The 18,362-nt window shown below is 34.3% G+C and overlaps 1 protein-coding gene across 3 annotated transcripts in view; it reads right to left on the reverse strand.

The window, feature by feature from the left end:
• NME7 (NME/NM23 family member 7) overlaps nt 1-18,362 on the reverse strand; it is a 235,267-nt gene that overhangs the window by 91,310 nt on the left and 125,595 nt on the right. For all 3 annotated transcript variants that reach the window (NR_104229.2, NM_197972.3, NM_013330.5), the window contains exons 8-10: nt 13,783-13,847; nt 11,291-11,359; nt 6,878-6,979 (exon numbers count right to left, since the gene is read on the reverse strand). Coding sequence is in view for 2 of the 3 variants with exons in the window: in NM_197972.3 (NP_932076.1) it covers nt 6,878-6,979; nt 11,291-11,359; nt 13,783-13,847 (236 nt within the window). In the remaining variant the exon portion in view is untranslated. The remainder of the gene's footprint in view (nt 1-6,877; nt 6,980-11,290; nt 11,360-13,782; nt 13,848-18,362) is intronic.

Here is an 18,362-nt window from a genome sequence, read left to right on the forward strand (position 1 = left end):
TTATATCTTTTATTTCTACATTTAATCTGTGTATATTGAAAGCCATGCCTTCATATCATATCTCCAATTTCAATTCGAACACAAAGTTCATTGCAGTTTTCTCATTTTCTGTATTTGTATATCTCTCCTCTGAGAGAAATCTGGCTCCTATTGTCTTTAATTTATCTAGTTATTTGATGAATTCTACCACATATAACCAACCTCCCATATCTGTCATCATCTATTCCCCATGAAGATGCTCTTCTCATCTCACACAGGCTTCAATATCCTGACCCAGGCGATGCCTCTCACCTGGATGCCTTGGTCATGCCAATCAGGCTCTGACACACCAGGCCAGATCTCCCTTCTGTATCAATGCCCATCTGGCACTGGGCTGCCTCCAAGTGTGAATGCTCTCTTCACCTCACTCAGGTTCTGACTCCCCATGCCAGGCTGCTCCCCAGGATCACAGGCCCTCCTCTCTGTGCATAAGATCGGGCACCCTATGCCAGGCCATTCCTTCTACAGGGAAACCATGCTTACCCCACCTGGGCTCTAAAACCCCATACTAGGTTGTCTTTCCAAGTCTGAACCTTCCTCATCTTACGCTAAGCTGTCTTCAGGTGTGGATGCTCTCTTCTTCTGAGATTTCCTGTTTAATAGATTTTGGATATTCATATATGTATATATATGAATATATACATATATACACACATTTATACATATATATTTAACAGATCTGTAATATTTTACATATCATGTCATACTACAATATGAGTGGTGAAAACAAGGCAAATTCAAAAGTCTGGGGGAAATCCTGGACTTTTTTTCTTTAATAGGACCATATTCTATTTCGAAAAATCTATTCATTTGTCCAGTACATGACTCTAGATGTATTCTTCCATTCATTTGTTCCACCATCAACTATTTATCAAGTGTTTTCCACATTCGAGGTACTCTGCTACATGCTAGAAATACTAAGATGAATAAAACATGATCTTGGGGAACAATTTCAGGAAGTAGACAGACGGTAAATAAATAAGTACAGTAAAATTTAACAGGTGATATAAAAATAGTATATATAGGGTAAAATAAGGCCACAAAAGAGGAAGTAGCCATTCTGTCTGAGGGTGGTGGGACCAATATTTAATTCTCAGGTGCTTGGGCAAAGTTTCAATAGCTGAGGAAGTTTCTCTGTCAATAAGACAATAAGAGAAGGATATAGAAACAGAAGAAAGAAGAAAGACACTGGTTTATTAAGGAAGAATAAATAGTGTGATATAATATATAATTTTTTTTTCTTTAGACAGAGAGAGTATCACTTTTTTGTCCAAGCTGGAGTGCAGTGGTGCAATCTCAGCTCACTGCAACCTCCACCTCCCGGGTTCAAGCAATTCTCCTGCCTCTGCCTCCTGAGTAGTTAGGATTACAGGTGCCCGCCACCATGCCTGGCTAATTTTTATGCTTTTAGCAGAGATGGGGTTTCGCCATGTTGGCCAGGCTGATCTTGAACTCCTGACCTCAAGTGATCTGCCTACCTCAGCCTTCCAAAGTGCTGGGATAACAGGTGGAACCACCCTGCTCGGTCCAGTTTGACGTTAGTGGAGGGTAAAGTGCAAATGCAGAGGACAGAGGAAAGGCACAAAATGCAGCAAGAAATGAGGCTAGAAGTAGGAATGGCTGTTTCATGGAGGACTTTGAAAGCCTTCCTATGGAAGGTAATAGGGAGCCACTGCAGGGCTTTAAGCAGATATTTTAAATAAATTATAGAAATGCAGTCTTATCAGTCCACACATTATATTTTATTAAAACTTAATCTCATTATTACTTTGTAGATAGTAAATAGAAATTGCAAGTCTAATATTTCCCCCCTCCCTAATGAATTGTCTTGTGCACCCTCTCCTCTTTGGACACCACTTCTAGAGAGACCGAAAAAAATTTTGTTAATACATAATGAGCATTCCTTCCAGCTATAAGAACTGGAAGGGGAAGAATATGCCAAAAGCACAGACATCAATGATGAAATCATGTCAATCTGCAACATATATAGTTACAAACTGATTTAATGGTCACTGTTAGGCTGAACTTTCTTGTGAATCACTTTATAAAATAGCTCTATATCTTAGAAAATAATTTGTAAGAAGCAGGACCCATTTCGATAGAAAAAATATTTAAATAATAAGTTAGTACCAGGTGTTAGGTATATATATATAATATAGCCAGTTTATTCATTAGTTCATCAAATATTTATTGCATGGCCATTAGGTACCTGGCCATCTTCCAAGCACTAATTATATTTGCACATCTCATCACCAAGGGTCTTTCTTTAGATATGGGAGTGACTAGGCAATGAAGAAATGAATTTCTAAATTATTTTAAGATAATATAATACATGAATAGACTGGCACATCTGCACTTTAAGGTGAGATTACTATTTAATTATCAATTCTATCTCTTCCTAGAGCTAGATCATACATTCTTCAAAAAACAAACCTGTATTGGTTTGATCATTAATATAAACTTAGTAGCACCTAGCAGTTACTGGCATGCAGTAAGCATTCAATATCCATTTGTTGGCGAGGTGGAGAGAAAAGGGGGAAAGAAAAGAATGGAGAAAAGGAATCAAATGGATTTTGAAATTCTGAGACCAAAGGGAAAGAGCCATTTTATTGTCCTCAAAACATAGCTTGATTGTAACTACTATAGTATTTCTTCTGATTTGAAAACCCCCATCAAAGGCATACAGTCCTGCCTGACATCCTGGATCTCCACTTAGAAACAGAATGTAACTCAGGAGTCTGAGACACAAGATAATCAGTTCTTAGAAGTATATGCCTCCTCATTCAAAAGTTCATTAACTTTCAGGTTTTAAGATAAAAAGTATTTTTGTTATTATAAAAGTAATATAAGTACTTTAAAGAAATTTTGCAAAATATAGGAAAACAGAACTGAAACATTATCATATTTCCACCTCCTAAAGATAACCACTGTTAACATTTTACACGTTAAATCAGTTCCAAATTTTAAAATCCCTGTGGTGCAACTTTCTATAATGCTATGAGGAACTTATAGACAACTAAAATGAACCAAAAAAACACAGTAGAGTAATGCCATCCATACTTAATGAGACAAGATTCAGGGCCCTGAAAGAGTTTCAAGATTGAGCTATCATGAGGTTACGAGGTCCTTAAGGAAATATAACGTATTCTAGTCATCTTTTTTATGCCCCAGCAATAGGACCCAGGAGTGAGCCTTGCACATACTATTCACTCAGTAAATGTTCCTTGAATAAATACTTAGAAAAAAAATGGGAATCAGCATTGTTTTCTTTTCGAGACTCTTCTTTCTATGATCGTGAACCTGCTCACTCCCCAGCTCCTCCCGAATGACCCCATCCTTTATCATTCCTTGCGCTGAACATTAGTTCCAGCAGTAATAAAGAGCTTGCTGTAGCCCCAAAGTGTTGTTGTTTTAGGCATTCAAAACTTTAACCATATCATTTGCCACCTTCATCACTAAGATAAGTTCTAATTCCTTACAATTCAGCTCAGAAGCCATGTCTCCCCTGACATTTGTCACATATCTTAGTCCATTTTCTTTTGCTACAATATCTGAGACTAGGCAATTTATGGAGAAAATAAATGTATTTCTGCTGGGTGAGAGCATTTGAAAATATTTTTTAAAAGTTATTTCTGTAAGAAATAACTAAGTTCTGAAGGCTGGAAGGTCTGAGAGCACGGCACTAGCATTTGGTGAAGACCTTACTGTGTCATAACATGATGCATGATATCACATGGTGATAGGGCAAGAGTGTGCATGTCAGCTCAGGTCTCCCTTCCTCTTCTCATAAAGCCACTAGTCTCACCATGTGGGCCTCACCATGATGACCTTATCTAATCCTATTACCTCCCAAAGGCCCCACTTCCAAATACCATCAACATATACACATGGGGATTAAGTTTCCAACACATGAACTTTTCGTGGACACATTCAAACCACTGTGTCACACATTCCCAGGCTGAGCTAAGTGCTATATTTCTGGGTTCCTAGAGTACCCGCAAATATCTAACAATGCAATTGCCATATTGCATGGAAATTAGCCACTTACAGTTGTTTACTCACAGGCTAAGATCTTTGAGGCTTATATTATATCAACTTTATTACATAATATATATATATAACAAAAATAAAGATAGAAAAAAATATATAATTATGTGTGTATACACACACACACACACACACACACACACACATATATACGTGTAATTTTATAGCAATAGGGTCTCACTATATTGCCAAGGCAGGTCTCCAACTCCTGGCCTCAAGCAATCTTCCTGCCTTATCCTCCCAAAATGCTGGGATTACAGGTGTGTGCTACCATGCCCAGCCTGGGCTTCTATATATTCACAAATACTGACATGGGCTCAATAAATATTTATTGAATAAATGAGAGAACAAAAGAATGAATCATCTTATTTCTTTCCTTTTTTGTTTTAGTTTTTATCTCTTTAATTTACTTCTGTTTGTTAGGTCAAGCTGATCACTCACAGTTTTACTTACCTTAAAAAAAAGTACAGGCCGGGCACGGTGGCTCACGCCTGTAATCCCAGCACTTTGGGAGGCCGAGGCGGGTGGATCATGAGGTCAGGAGATCGAGACCATCCTGGCTAACAAGGTGAAACCCCGTCTCTACTAAAAATACAAAAAATTAGCCGGGCGCAGTGGCGGGCGCCTGTAGTCCCAGCTACTCGGGAGGCTGAGGCAGGAGAATGGCGTGAACCCGGGAAGCGGAGCTTGCAGTGAGCCGAGATTGCGCCACTGCAGTCCGCAGTCCGGCCTGGGCGACAGAGCGAGACTCCGTCTCAAAAAAAAAAAAAAAAAAAAAAAGTACAAAAACCCCTCTTGCCCATCAAACAGAAATCAGAAATTTAAAATGTTAAAAATGGCAAAAACTGTTACCTTTACTCATCTAGCCAAAAAGCAATCCCTTCCTAATTTATTATAATTAATTTTCAATAAACAGCATCATTACCAATTTCTCTCAATGGCCTTTGCAACAGAGTCACCTTGTAATCATTACTCTATCACAACCACATGTGTTATTTAAGTATCTATTCTTTCTCCCTGAAAAGATATAAAGGAGGTCCTGCCGACTTTCTCTATTGATGTCATCAGGTCTGTCTCTTTCTATTTCTAGAGCCTCTGACTTTAATCTCTTCCAATTTAGTTTGACCTAGTTGCATCAAAGTAACAATTCAGTATAGTCAAAATTAAGCTGCATACAAGGAATTCCAATTTCCTATGATATGGGATTCAAATTAAATAGAATTACAATTTTTATCCTGGCTTCTAAGGCTAAAATCACACCCATCTCTACCAGAATTCTCTACCATATTTCCTCTATCTAAGAAAATGTATTTCCTTGTGCTTCCAGCTATGTATTTCCCACTGAAGTCAAGAAAATATTCTTGCTGTATACCACAGTAAATTTGCAAATTCCTTCATTGGTGTTTTTGCACATGCTTTAGATCTTTTCTCATTCTCTTTGTGCCCTAATTTGTCTTTCATACCCCTGCTTATATCTCTCTTCCTTTAAGTTTTCTTAACTACTTTCAGGTCATATTAACTGCTCTGTTGCTACACAATCCAACATTTGGATTTTACTGAAATAACAATATCCTTATTTGCATGTGGCACTGTAAATGTTCTAAAAGATCTTTATGTATATACTTTTAGATCACTGACAACAGGAGTGTTGTTCTCCCCTACTGGGCTTAATCTAGCAGCACTTTGACACAAGATGATTTCTTAATAGATGCTGTGGATTTATTGTCTTACATCTAAGGGTGTTCAATAAATGGCCGGGCATAGCGGCTCATGCCTGTAATCTCAACACTTTGGGAGGCCGAGACAGGCTGATCACCTGAGGTCAGGAGTTCAAGACCAGCCTGGCCAACAGGATAAAACCCTGTCTCTACTAAAAATACAAAAGATTAGCCAGGCGGGGTGGCACACACCTGTAGTCCCAGCTACTCAGATGGCTGAGGCAGGAGAATCACTAGAGCCCGGGAGGTGGAGGTTGCAGTGAGCCGAGATTGCACCGCTGCACTCTACACTGGGCAACAGAGTGAGACTCCATCTAAAAAAAAAAAAAATTAAAAATAATAAACAATGCCCTGAATAAAATTAAATTGAATTGGCTGCTCATCTTCAATAAACTACTTATAAATAATAGTAAAATACAGGAAACAGTACATTTACATTAAGGTTAGTATTTAAATCATTAATACTTCCCATAATCCTATCAAGTTTCTAATATTTGCATAGAGCTTTATCATAGCGTTCTAATGCTACTTCTACTTGTCACCCCCCTACACCTATACACACATACATACATGCACTGTTAAATGTCCAAGAAAAAGTAGTTTGCTTTAGGAAGAAAACCCAAAGCAAACTGAAAGGTATACTAGTGAATACCAAATTTCACATAAGTCTTATTGCCCATATTTATTTATGTATTGGTATGTTGCCACTGTATTATAAAAGCTTTATTTATGGCCCCCCTATGTCAAAGGATATATAATACCTTAGATAATTTCTATTATGAAGCTTGCAAAATGTATTTACCTGGACAATTTAGCAAGAAGAAAGAAAAAAAGAAAATGCGATAGTAAATGCTTCTGCCTATTCTATATTGTCACTAAGTTAACAAAAAAAATTATCTTTCTTGGAATGTTATGTAAAAATAAATTTTATGAAGTGCCATTTTGAATTAAAACTTTGTATATTATATTCATTTTTACATTATTTACTTAAAGGAACAAACGAAAAATTTTAAACCTGTTAAAATAGTGAATAGATAACACAAACTAGGATAATATTTTAAACAATAACTTACAGGATCAGCAGGTCCACAAAATTCTCGAAATGTCTTTGTAGCATTATTCTGTTGAATCTCCATTGCTACACAAGGGCCAGAATACATTTCTGTCACCATGTCCTATGATATGTAATATAAAAGAATGAAAAGAATTTAACAATTTTTAACTCTCCCCTTTTAATTGTTTCACTGTTCCACTAATGTCCTTAAAGTCATCTGTGACTTCTTCCCCACTTATATCCCACATATCAAGCAGTTCCCAAATTCTGTCCATTTTTCCTTGAAGAATATTTTTTAGATATGCTCTCTCTTCTCCATTCCTATCACATTTTAATATAATGCTTTATCATCCGACACTTTCATTATTTGGAATGATCTTCTAGTATATCTTCCTTGCAAAGGCCTTCTTGAATACAATGTTGTTGAATTCACATTACTAAATATATATATATAAATTTCAAAGGTTTTATCCTAAAAAACCTTTTAAAAATCATAATGCATTCTAGCAACAAGAAATAATAGGACCAGATTTATTCTCCCATATTAAACATCTAGAAACTAGATAAAATATACGAAACAATAGTTTTCATACACTGGGTGATGGGCAGCACAGGTCTATGACCCCTGAAAGTATGGAAACAGATTAGGTGAGCTGTAGAATTGCTCTGTCTTACTGTCTAGAGGCAGTTTCCAGACCAGTAGACCAGGTAGAGGAAACACAACAGAGCCCAACGTTCTCTGAGTTGAAAAGACAAAGATTGCACTTCGGGGAGGCCAATGTAGCCTTATTTTCAGGAAAGAATACTGGAGAGATGAGGGGAGTATGCAGAAAATAAGCTACAGGATCTGCAGAGGAGTTCCCATGAGTCTTTGGCTACTAATCTGTCACATGTGTACAGCAAACTACTTGAGGCTGGGGAAAGAATTGCCAGAAAGTAGACCAAACAACTCAGAGACAGCACAAGGCTGAGAAGAGTTTATGTTTCTACCAGCCAGAGTGAAAGGCCTTTTTATATGATATATGGAGCATCAAGGAGAGTCCTCAGAAGGGTACTGCACCATAGCAGTTGGCCTAAATTAGCCCTAGATTGTAAGATGCTCTATACCCATCCTACAAAGATTAAAAGCAAGACTCAAAAGTTTCAAATTGATTCCAAGTGATTTAACTAGGTGCCAGACCAAAATTGAGCACTCTTTACAAATCTACCATGTAACAATGTAAATTTTACAATATACAGTATCCAGTAAAAAAATTACCAGGCAGGCAAATATGTAGGAAAATACTAACCATTACCAGAAGAAAACTCAATAAATAGACCCAGCAATTAAATAAATGACATAAAAAGGATATCCAAACAGCTATTATAAGCTCCACATTCTCAAATTATACAAGGAAATATAAACTTGGTGAGGAGAAAATAAAAAATATTTAAAAGATCCAAATACAACGTCTAGAGATATAATCTAAGACATCTAAATTTAAAAATACACTGAATGGGGTGAACAGGATACGACACTGCAGAAGAGCAATAAATTTGAAGACATTCAATAGAAACTATTCAAAAATAAGCATGGAGAGAAAGAAAAATGAAGAAGAAGAAAAAAGCCCTGCTGTGCAACCATGTCAAGCTGTCTATTATATGTGTAATTAGAATCTCAGAAGAGAAGAAAAGGTGATAAACATAAATATATTTTTTAAAATAAGTGCTAAAAACTTTCCAAATTTGCTGAAACCCATAAACCTATAGATCCAACAGAACCCAAGGATAATAAATGTAAAGAGAAGTACATTAGGATGCAAAATAATAAAATTAGCTAAAAACAAAAACAAAAAGCTTTATAAGCAGCCAGGGTGTTGGGGGGGGGGCAGGGGAAAGAACATTATATAACAGTGGGAAAAAGATAAGGATGACAACAATGATGACCAAAAAATGTAAATCTGTATTCTATACCCAGGTGGGAAAATATTTTTCAAAAATGAAGAAAAAAGGAAGACGTTTTAAGACAAAAAAGACCTGATACAATTCACCATCAGAAGCATTATATAATAAGAAATATTAAAGGAAGTTCTTTAGGCAGAAGGAAAAAAATGCCAGACAAAAATATAAATCTATACAAAGCAACAGTAAACATGTCAAGTATAAACATAAAATGCATTTTTATTTTTTAGTTGCTTTATTTTTCTTTTTTTTCCTTTCTGTTGTTTTCTTTTCTTTTTTTTTTTTTTTTTTTTTTTTTGAGACAGAGTTTTGCTCTGTTGCCCAGCTGGAGCACAGTGGCACGATCTTGGCTCACTGCAACCTCAGCCTCCAGGGTTCAAGCTATTCTCACGCCTCAGCCTCCTGAGTAGCTGGGACTACAGGCACCCACCACCACATCTAGCTAATTTTTGTATTTTCAGTTGCTTTCAAACATAATTGTTCAAAGAAATGCATTGTATTGTTGGGTTTATAGCATATATAGATGTAAAATGTATGAGAACAACAGCACACAGAATAATAGGGGAAAAATATAAGTATACTGTTTTAAGATTCTTAGCTCTCTATATAAAGCTGTATAATGAAAAACATGATCCAAGAAAAATGCCTCTCATAGTGTCTAGAACACTCAAAAATAATTTTTTTCACCCTCTTGAATAGGAAAGAATACTTTAGGCAGAAGTGAAAATGGATATAAAGACTTTGAGGCAGAAGTACAGTAGGGATATATGAAGATCAGCTTAGAGGCTAGGAGCTGAGTGAGACTACGGGAAAGTAGTAAGAGATGAGGCCAGACCATGCAGGGTCATGTAAACCATTTTCATGACTTTGAGGATTTACGATACACAACATCAAAGTAAAATAATTTATTACAGAATATATTTGAATATTGATCCAAAAGCAGTCATCTCAGCTAATACAAACTACAGAAGCTAAAAGAGGAGGAAAAGGACTTCAAAATTTATATGGTACTCATAACTCTACTCATTAGAGTTCCTGAGTGTATCCCCCAAAGCCATTTTGCTATTTCACAAAGGTCATATGTAATTGATTTTTTATGGATAATTATATTGAGTCTGATTTTCTGCCTCTGATATTGAAGTACTGCCTACACACAAATGTCAAAGCCAAATTTTCAGAAGGAGCAGAAGGCATGAACAAGTTTTCCAAAAACAGAAGAGTAAATTTTGTCTGCTCTTCTCCCTCCCTTCCTTGTTTCCTTCCTTTTCCTCTCCCTCCTTTTTTTCCTTTGTTTCTTTCTTTCTTCTTTTTCTCTCTCCCTCCTTCCTTTTTTCTTTCTTTGTCTCTCTCACTCATTCTCTTTCAGTGTTGATTACAGATACCACTGAAAATAGACATACAAGGCTGTCAAAATGTATAAAATGGAAAGAAAAAACATGTTAAACAAAGAACTTCATCAAAAGCATAACATGTTCCTTCAAAAATTGACTCAGAATTTTTAAGTCACCCTAGTTTTTAATTAAGTCACAAATTTTTTAAACAAAAAAACAACCTTTCTGTTTCCTTTACAGCCTTTTGACTGCTGTCCTTAGGTAGCTATGTGTAGGATCATTTGATTTCATGTCTATCTTCTCCAGAGCATAAGCTCCATAAATGCAGGCAGTATGTTTTTTGTTCATCACTGATTATTTGGCTTATAGCAGATACTCAATATATATAATAAGTGTGGATCATAGTAACAGCATGAGATAGGAATTATCACCTTTTTATGACTGTACATGTTGAAGCAGAAAATACAGGTGTAAATAATCAACACGGAATCTACTACCAAAGAATTATATCAGACTAAATAATAATAAAAACAACAATAATAGCAGGTAATATTTACTGAGTACTTTTAATATGTGAGACAGTTTTACATAATTTATTTCATTTAATTCCCACAACAATCTCATAAGGTAGGTAATAGCATTATTCCCATTTTATAAATGGGTTAATCAAGGTTTAAAGAAGGTAAATAAATTGTCGATGGTCATATAACTAGAAGATTTAAGATCTGAACCTAGCATCTGACTCTACAGAGGGGGAAGAAAAAAGAAGAGAACTGAATTTAGGAAGCTGCAGGCTGGTTGCAATGAATTTTGGGAGATATGAAAGGTATACAGTTTGAAGAATGTAATGTGGAAATAACTGACTGGTTAACATCAGGTTACCTCAGGTTACTTTTTGTTGTATGGATGAAAGACAGAGAAAACTTCATTATTATACCAAACAAAATTAGCCTGTTTGGGAAATTTGGCTCGCTCTCTCCTGATTTCTCAGAAGGTCAGATAACAACCTAGGTCGTTGACACAGAACTTTAGTATGAATGACTCTGTATTGATTTTCAGTCTGGCCATTTGGGACCTAGTACAGGAGCTTAGTCCAAAACACTGCATCCTATACTTTTCACTTAACAGTACAAATGTTTTACATTTACTTTTATACTTACATGATATTCGGTCACTACTCCTTTATAAACTTCATAGAATTCCTCAACATTAACCCGATCCATATTGAACTATATTAAAAAATAAAACAAAACAAAACCATAAACCAACCAACAAAAGGGAAATAAATAAGCCACACTTAGCACTTAACACTTGTAATCTCTTCTTTACTCTAAAACATAAACTTTACATAGATTACTCTTTGAAGAAAAAGTGTTATTAAACATCAACTCATCAAGAATAATAATGGATAACAGCATCACTCTAGGTTCTATACGTGCATCATCTCATTTAGCCCTCACAACCACCTTACTGCATAGGTAGTATTAATGGCTCCAACTTACAGATGAGACTACTAAGACTCAGAGGAGTCATACAACTTCCTCAAACTGGCATCCTATCTCAAGCAGTCTGACCCCATTGATAATACTTTTACCTACTACACTACACCTCTCTCTGAATAAAACCTCATTCTTGATACAAAAGAAGATTTATATGCAATATTAATTATACTATTGATAGATTAGTGGCACAAGAAAGAAATATTACTAAAGAAAAGTAGTTCAGACTTTTAGAGGAAACAGAAAACAATACCATTTTCCTCCCAAGCATTCGGAAAAATCCCTAGTTAGTCTGGTTTGTGTTAAAGCATTTATACAAGTCATGTGGACTTCCTGCTACTCTTCAAAAAGAACTGTAAAAGTGTGCTTACAAAGTAAGTCTAGAGGGACTTATTCTTATCAAGGCTGAATTTAAATTTAGTTAGGAATAAAATTTCGTTAAATTCTAAGGTTCTCAAAAACTAAGACCTTATTTTTTTTAAAAAGTAGCCTCAGAATTCCCAGTTTTATTTTCCCTCCATTTTGCTTGTTTATTGTTGCCAGGATTGAAGACCCACTGAGAAATTTCTGCCAATATGGACAATCATTTAAGCTAGGAGGATTTATTTTTATGGGCAACATTACTACCATAGGGAGGAAATTCTGTTGGATTTCAGTGTTTTATCCAACATTCACATATGTTTTGCTAAATGCAACAAAATACTAATAGAAGATATCATTTATTAAATACTTAGAATTTGAGCCAGAAATGATTATTTTATTTAATCTGCTGAGTAACCCATTTAGGCAGATACTAATGCTTTCATTGCCTAGATGAGAAAACTGAGAATAAGAATGCTTGACATTTGGCCAAGGCCACATGCCTAGAAAACAGCTGACCCAAGATTCAGAAATAGATCTTTCTGACTCCACAAGTCCACGACTGTGTTTGCTACTACACTACCATGCCTTACCTATAGGCTCAATTAATCATTTTTAAAATTATTTTTTTCATTAGTACAAACTATACCCAATCACCAATCACTATGCTAAACTGTAGATCTAGAATTAGGTCAGTGTTTAAAACTAACATTTCTATATTTTTTTAAATAGGCTTACATGTCATCCTACAATCTTGTTAATATATCACCAAGCTAATACTTTTAGAAAGTTTTGGCTGACAATTACTTTATAATTCTAGGTAAGATTCTTCAAATATCAGTTTTCTCATTAGTCTTTAAGTTTTGCTCAATGACTTTGTAAACTATTTCCCTTTTTTTTTTTTCTTTTTTGGCTTATTGGCACAAAATAGAACTCCAGTTTGTGTCCTGGTCCTTGATTTTGGGTAATCTTAAGACTTTAGAAAGCTGTTTCTTTTCAGAAAATAAAATACAAATAATACCAGTAAGAAAATTCTCAGCTTCAAAATGGCTATTTTGGTATTTCACTATCAAAAAAGCACAAACTTGCTGGGCTTCAAACACTGTAAAAACCAAATTGTTTATCTGATTTATATAATAATCTGTTGCCCAATTTCTAGTCAAATGTACCGATGAGTACAGCACAAAGGTATGACCTCTACCAAAGTGGGTGTTGTTTCTCACTGAAAGGTTTCCTAGGAGTGTATGAACAACGCAATTTTGAACAAGCGTGGGCTCTGAAGGTGCAGCGGTACAAGTGCCAACAGAGTTGCTAGAATACACTAACTCCAAAGACAGTCTTGAGAGAAAGTCCAAAAACCAGCAAAAGGCACTGGTTAGGGAAAAAAAATCTGAACTGATTCTCTTCCTTCATTATTTGTTTAGTGAAGAATCCAGAAGACAGAAAACTCATCACAATTTCTCACTTTGATTCTACTTTTTGTTTATAAGAACAAAATACAGTTTTTGGTCCTTATTTATTTTGCAACTAAAGTTTCCAGAATTGTATAAACTTACCTTATAAGCTTAAATTAGGTGTATCATTGAATATTACTTCTCTCAGTAAAATATTATATGGGAAAAATCATTTCAAAAACCATTTTTTGACTACAGGAAGGTTACTGAGTTCAGTAAGTATGTCTTTTATTTTTAATGTGGTTCATGAGTACACAGGGAACATTCAATGTAAAGCATTTTATAACTATTTTTGAAAAAAATCCTCACAAATATTATGGTTCATTGTAAACTACCTACCATCTGCATAGCTGAGATTTCAAAACCTGCATCTCGGATAGCCATCAGGATCTTTCCCAACAGTCCTGAAAATGAAGGACAATGAGTGAAAAAATACAAAATTTTAAGACATTTTAGTTTCTTAGAAATGCAAATTTTTTATAGCAAAGTACTTTTTGTTTATACTCTATATTTAAAAAAACACATATTTTGCAAGAGAAACTAAATTAAATCCCTAATACTGAGCATTAAATCTAATCATTTGATTTCCTTTGTAAGTGCTTCAAGAATATCAACAATGGTTCTGAGGTTTATGCAAAAAACTTTTAAGATAATATTTTGCCTTTAAAGCCCCTGAAGTCTAGGTGATATAGAGAACATAAAAATCAAACAATTATAAATGGCATTATTTAATACAAAGAAACGAAATGCCAAAGTACCAGATACAGAAGGAATTCAAACAAGAGTTCAAAGAAGGAGAAAAATCAAATTGTAACTGAAGAGATAGGAAGAAGCTTCACGGGGAAATGAAAAGCATGAATGGTCCTTAAAGGCTGTGGACAGATGGGCTTATACAGGGATAGGAGAGAAGGCACACATCTGGGAAAGTATGAGCATATTTAAAAGACAGTAAGAAGACAGAAAAGAAAAACAAATAAAAAAGGAAAAGAGATTGAATTCAAATCGATAAAGGCCTTGGATACCAACATGAGGAATATAGTCTTTATCCTACAGATGAGTGGTTTCTATATTGGAGTCTATAGTCTCTGGGCAAATGGGGCTGACTTTGAGATTCCATTTGTTTCCTATAAAAGTCTAAGTTTCTTTTTTTCAAGTCAACTAAAACTCTGTCTCTTACACATACATGCACAAAGGCACACACACACACACACACACACACACACACACACACACCATATTCTGGATCATCTGGATCTTACCGAGTGACCCTAAATCACCATGTACTATTAGTGTCTGAATGTGCATTCGTATTTACTATCTTACCATAGCCAAGTAGTGCTATTTTAATTGTAGCAGGCTGAGGGGTGAGAAAAAGCCAGAGGTGGATCTGTTTCTCAAATGATACATCTGTACCAAATGAAGGCCAAATGATATCATAGCATGCTGTAGAAACAAAGGTTCTCAGAAGCTCAAAGACAGAAAAGTGGTGGATTAACTGAGTCATCACAGTAGAACAGGCTCATGCCTAACTCAGAGTCTGTACTATATTCACGTTAAGCTTGTTTTTATGGCAAATAACATCTTCTGTCACATTAATGCTATTATGTTAAATTCTGTTTTATATTTTCCTTGCTACGAATTTGCAAATTATTTTAGCCATGCACTTGTATGTGCAAAAGTTTGTATTTAGTTTTATATTTGGACATATTTAAGTTGTATTACTAAAAATTAAAATAATTTATGTCAACACTGAGCGTCCATGAGAATAGTTTTCCTTCAAAAAGAAACACTGCCAAAAGAAATGAGAAGTCAACAAAAATGTTGAGTGAGAAAATACAAAACTAAAGTAGTATTTTAGGAAGGTCACTAATGCAATAGTGATGAGCAAGCTGGTCTGAAGAAAAGAATAAGTAGTGGAAAGAATAGCAAAAGCTTTTGAAATCATTTAGAATGCTGATTGGAAAAAAATAGGCCATGATATATTTAAATATTTTCTCTCTTATTTTGAGCTTCAAAGCGTGGATGGCAGCAGTAGAGAAAGGAGGTAGTGAATATAAGATATTTTCACACAAGAAGCAATGGGATTAAACTGGATACAGAGTATGAAGATGAAAGAAGGATAAAAGATGATTTCAAGATTTTGAATCCAAGTGAATGGAAGAATGACAATACTTTTAAGAAGAAAACAAATAATGATGAAACCAAATTAATAAGGGGAAAGACACTGAATTATTTTGGACATAGAAACCCAAAACATACTAAATAGCATTTATAGAGTAGGAAACTGATCAGATCTTGAGGATGCAGCATATCCAATGGCTGAATGAGTAAAATAAACTCCCTGCACAAAATTAGTGACATGGGATTGCATACCAACAGATAGAGTTATAAAGACAGAATAAGAGGTACAGAGAGGTTAGAACTGAAATGATGCCAAGAGGCATTTGGAGACAGTACTTTATATAAAGAGCTGGAGAAGAATACATATTCAAGGCAAAAGGAACATTAAGCAAAGGTAAGGAGATGTAAAACACCATAGTTCTGGAATAAAAGTATCTTCATCTTACTGAATAATAGAGTGGAAAGGAAATGAGACAGAAGAGAAGGGAGCAGAGGTGGCAGAAGCCATGATAGAAGGACTTATGGACCATATACAGAGGTTTGGATTTTATCCTGTAGGCCAGAAGTTCTCAAACATTTTGGTCACATAGACCCTTTAGCTCTTAGATAGTACTGAAGACCTTTATATAGGTTATCTCTATCAATATTTATTATAATATAAGTTAAAGTGTGCTTATTCTCCTTTACTTGACAAGTGGTAGTTTCTTAGCCTTTATATAGGTTATCTCTATCCATATTTATTATGAGTTAAAACAAAATTTTAAAATATTTAAATATAACAAAAATCCTTTAAATGTTAACATAAATAACATTTTGTGAGGAAAATTATAATTTTTTAAAAATGTGATCTAAGCCAAAAGGTCAGGAAGAGATTATAGTATTTTTTTTAATTAGTGAGAAGAGAGATATTGTTTTACATTTTTTAAAAATCTCTTTAATGTCTCATTTAATAAAAGGCAGCTGGACTCTCACATTTACTTCAGCTTTCAATCTGTTGCCATATGTTGTTTTGGTTGGAGTATATTTAGTTGAAAAATAGTGGAATATTTTAATAATCTTTTACAATAACTGTGTATATTTTCCTTTACTTGATAAGTGGTAGCTTCTTAAAAGTTTGTTGCAATGTATAATCTAAAACCTTTATCAATAAACTTTTTTTTACCCTGTTACATTAAAATCCACTGGTCTATCTTGTATGTACTTCGAATGAAACTATGATATGACTCAGACATGATTTTTAATATCACACATTAATCATTTGGCAAATACCAGCTCACTGAGTTATGCAGATTTTCCAAATGCTGATTCATTTCATTATACGTCAAAAATCAATTAAAAATTTGTTAATATCATCACCAATTTCATCAGAATAGTCTTTCTATTCTGTTATACAATGTATTGGGAAGTTGTCAAACTGAAAGTGGTGAATACAGTTTTCCAAGGTTCTAAGTTTAGTTTTCCTTTGTAGTTTATCTTCACTTGGATTTTATCTTTGGCAAAGGCTATTGTCAGTTGTTTTCTTTGATATGATAGGCTTACTTAATTTGAAAGACAACGCCTGCCAAATACCCAAGTCTGAATAAGCACAATTTGTCTGTCAGTCATTCTTTCAAGTAAAAATGGTATTCCATAAAAGAAAAAGCATCTAATTGAGCTGACAGTGCAAACAATTGTGAATAGGATTACTCACAAATGCTTTTCCTTAAAACCATTATATGGAGCTTTATGTGTACTTCACATTACTTCACACAGAGTATTAAAAAGACCTATATTTGAGGATCAAAAAGTAATAAAATTATTTTTACTGCATCTAAGATATTCTTAACTAAGTATGGCTTTTTTTTCCCCCTGCAGATGCATGATGGTTAAAAATACAGTAACTACTAGCACAGTTTGGTGCCACTGCCTTGATTCGTTCTAAGGCAGTGGCAGTTTTGTTCACCATCGCTTTTGCACCATCAGTGCAAATGACAACACATTAAAAAAGGCAATTAAGTATGAAATCAGCTTTGGTCTTGCAGATCCATAAAAGGGTCTCATTAATGATAATAAAAAAATGATTACATATTAACCCTAATCTAAATATGAAATTTAATCTAATCTAAATATTAAACACTATGCTTCAATCAATATGAAAAGAAATTTATAATCTATATCTATTACAAATTCTAAGAATAAATAGGACAAGTTCACACGATATATAGGAAGATGCTCACCATAGAATTATTAGTAATAAAAAAATTTTAAGTTCTAAATAATAAAAAACAGGAAAAAGTTAGATAAAGAAGAATAAGTTCCTACAACTAACTTTTTACTCAGACTTTAAAAATCACATTTTCAAATATTATTTAATTGCATAGAAAAAAATTCAAAGTACAATGTTAGTGCAATTCAAAATTGTATACATAGGATAATTCCCAATTCACTTTATAAAACTAGTATTATCCTGATATTGAAATCATATGAAGACAGTACAAAAAACGAAACTACACTCCAATAGCCCTTATAAATATAAATATAAAAATACTTTTTAAAAAATTTTAAAACAATAATTTATTTACTTAATATGAGAAAGGGTCTTACTATGTTGACTAGCCTGGTCTTGAACTCCTAGGCTCAAACAATATTCCTGCCTCAGGCTCCTAAATATCTGGGATTACAGGCACATACCACTGTATCTGGCTAAACATAAAAATTATTTCCAAATGTTAAAATTTTAGAAATTTTATAATTTCCAATAAATTTTAAATTTTATAAATTTAGCAACATATACAAAGAATTATACACCATGACCAAGA

The sequence above is a fragment of the Homo sapiens genome, chromosome 1, assembly GCF_000001405.40.
Source record: "Homo sapiens chromosome 1, GRCh38.p14 Primary Assembly".
Classification (NCBI taxonomy): Eukaryota; Metazoa; Chordata; class Mammalia; order Primates; family Hominidae; genus Homo; species Homo sapiens.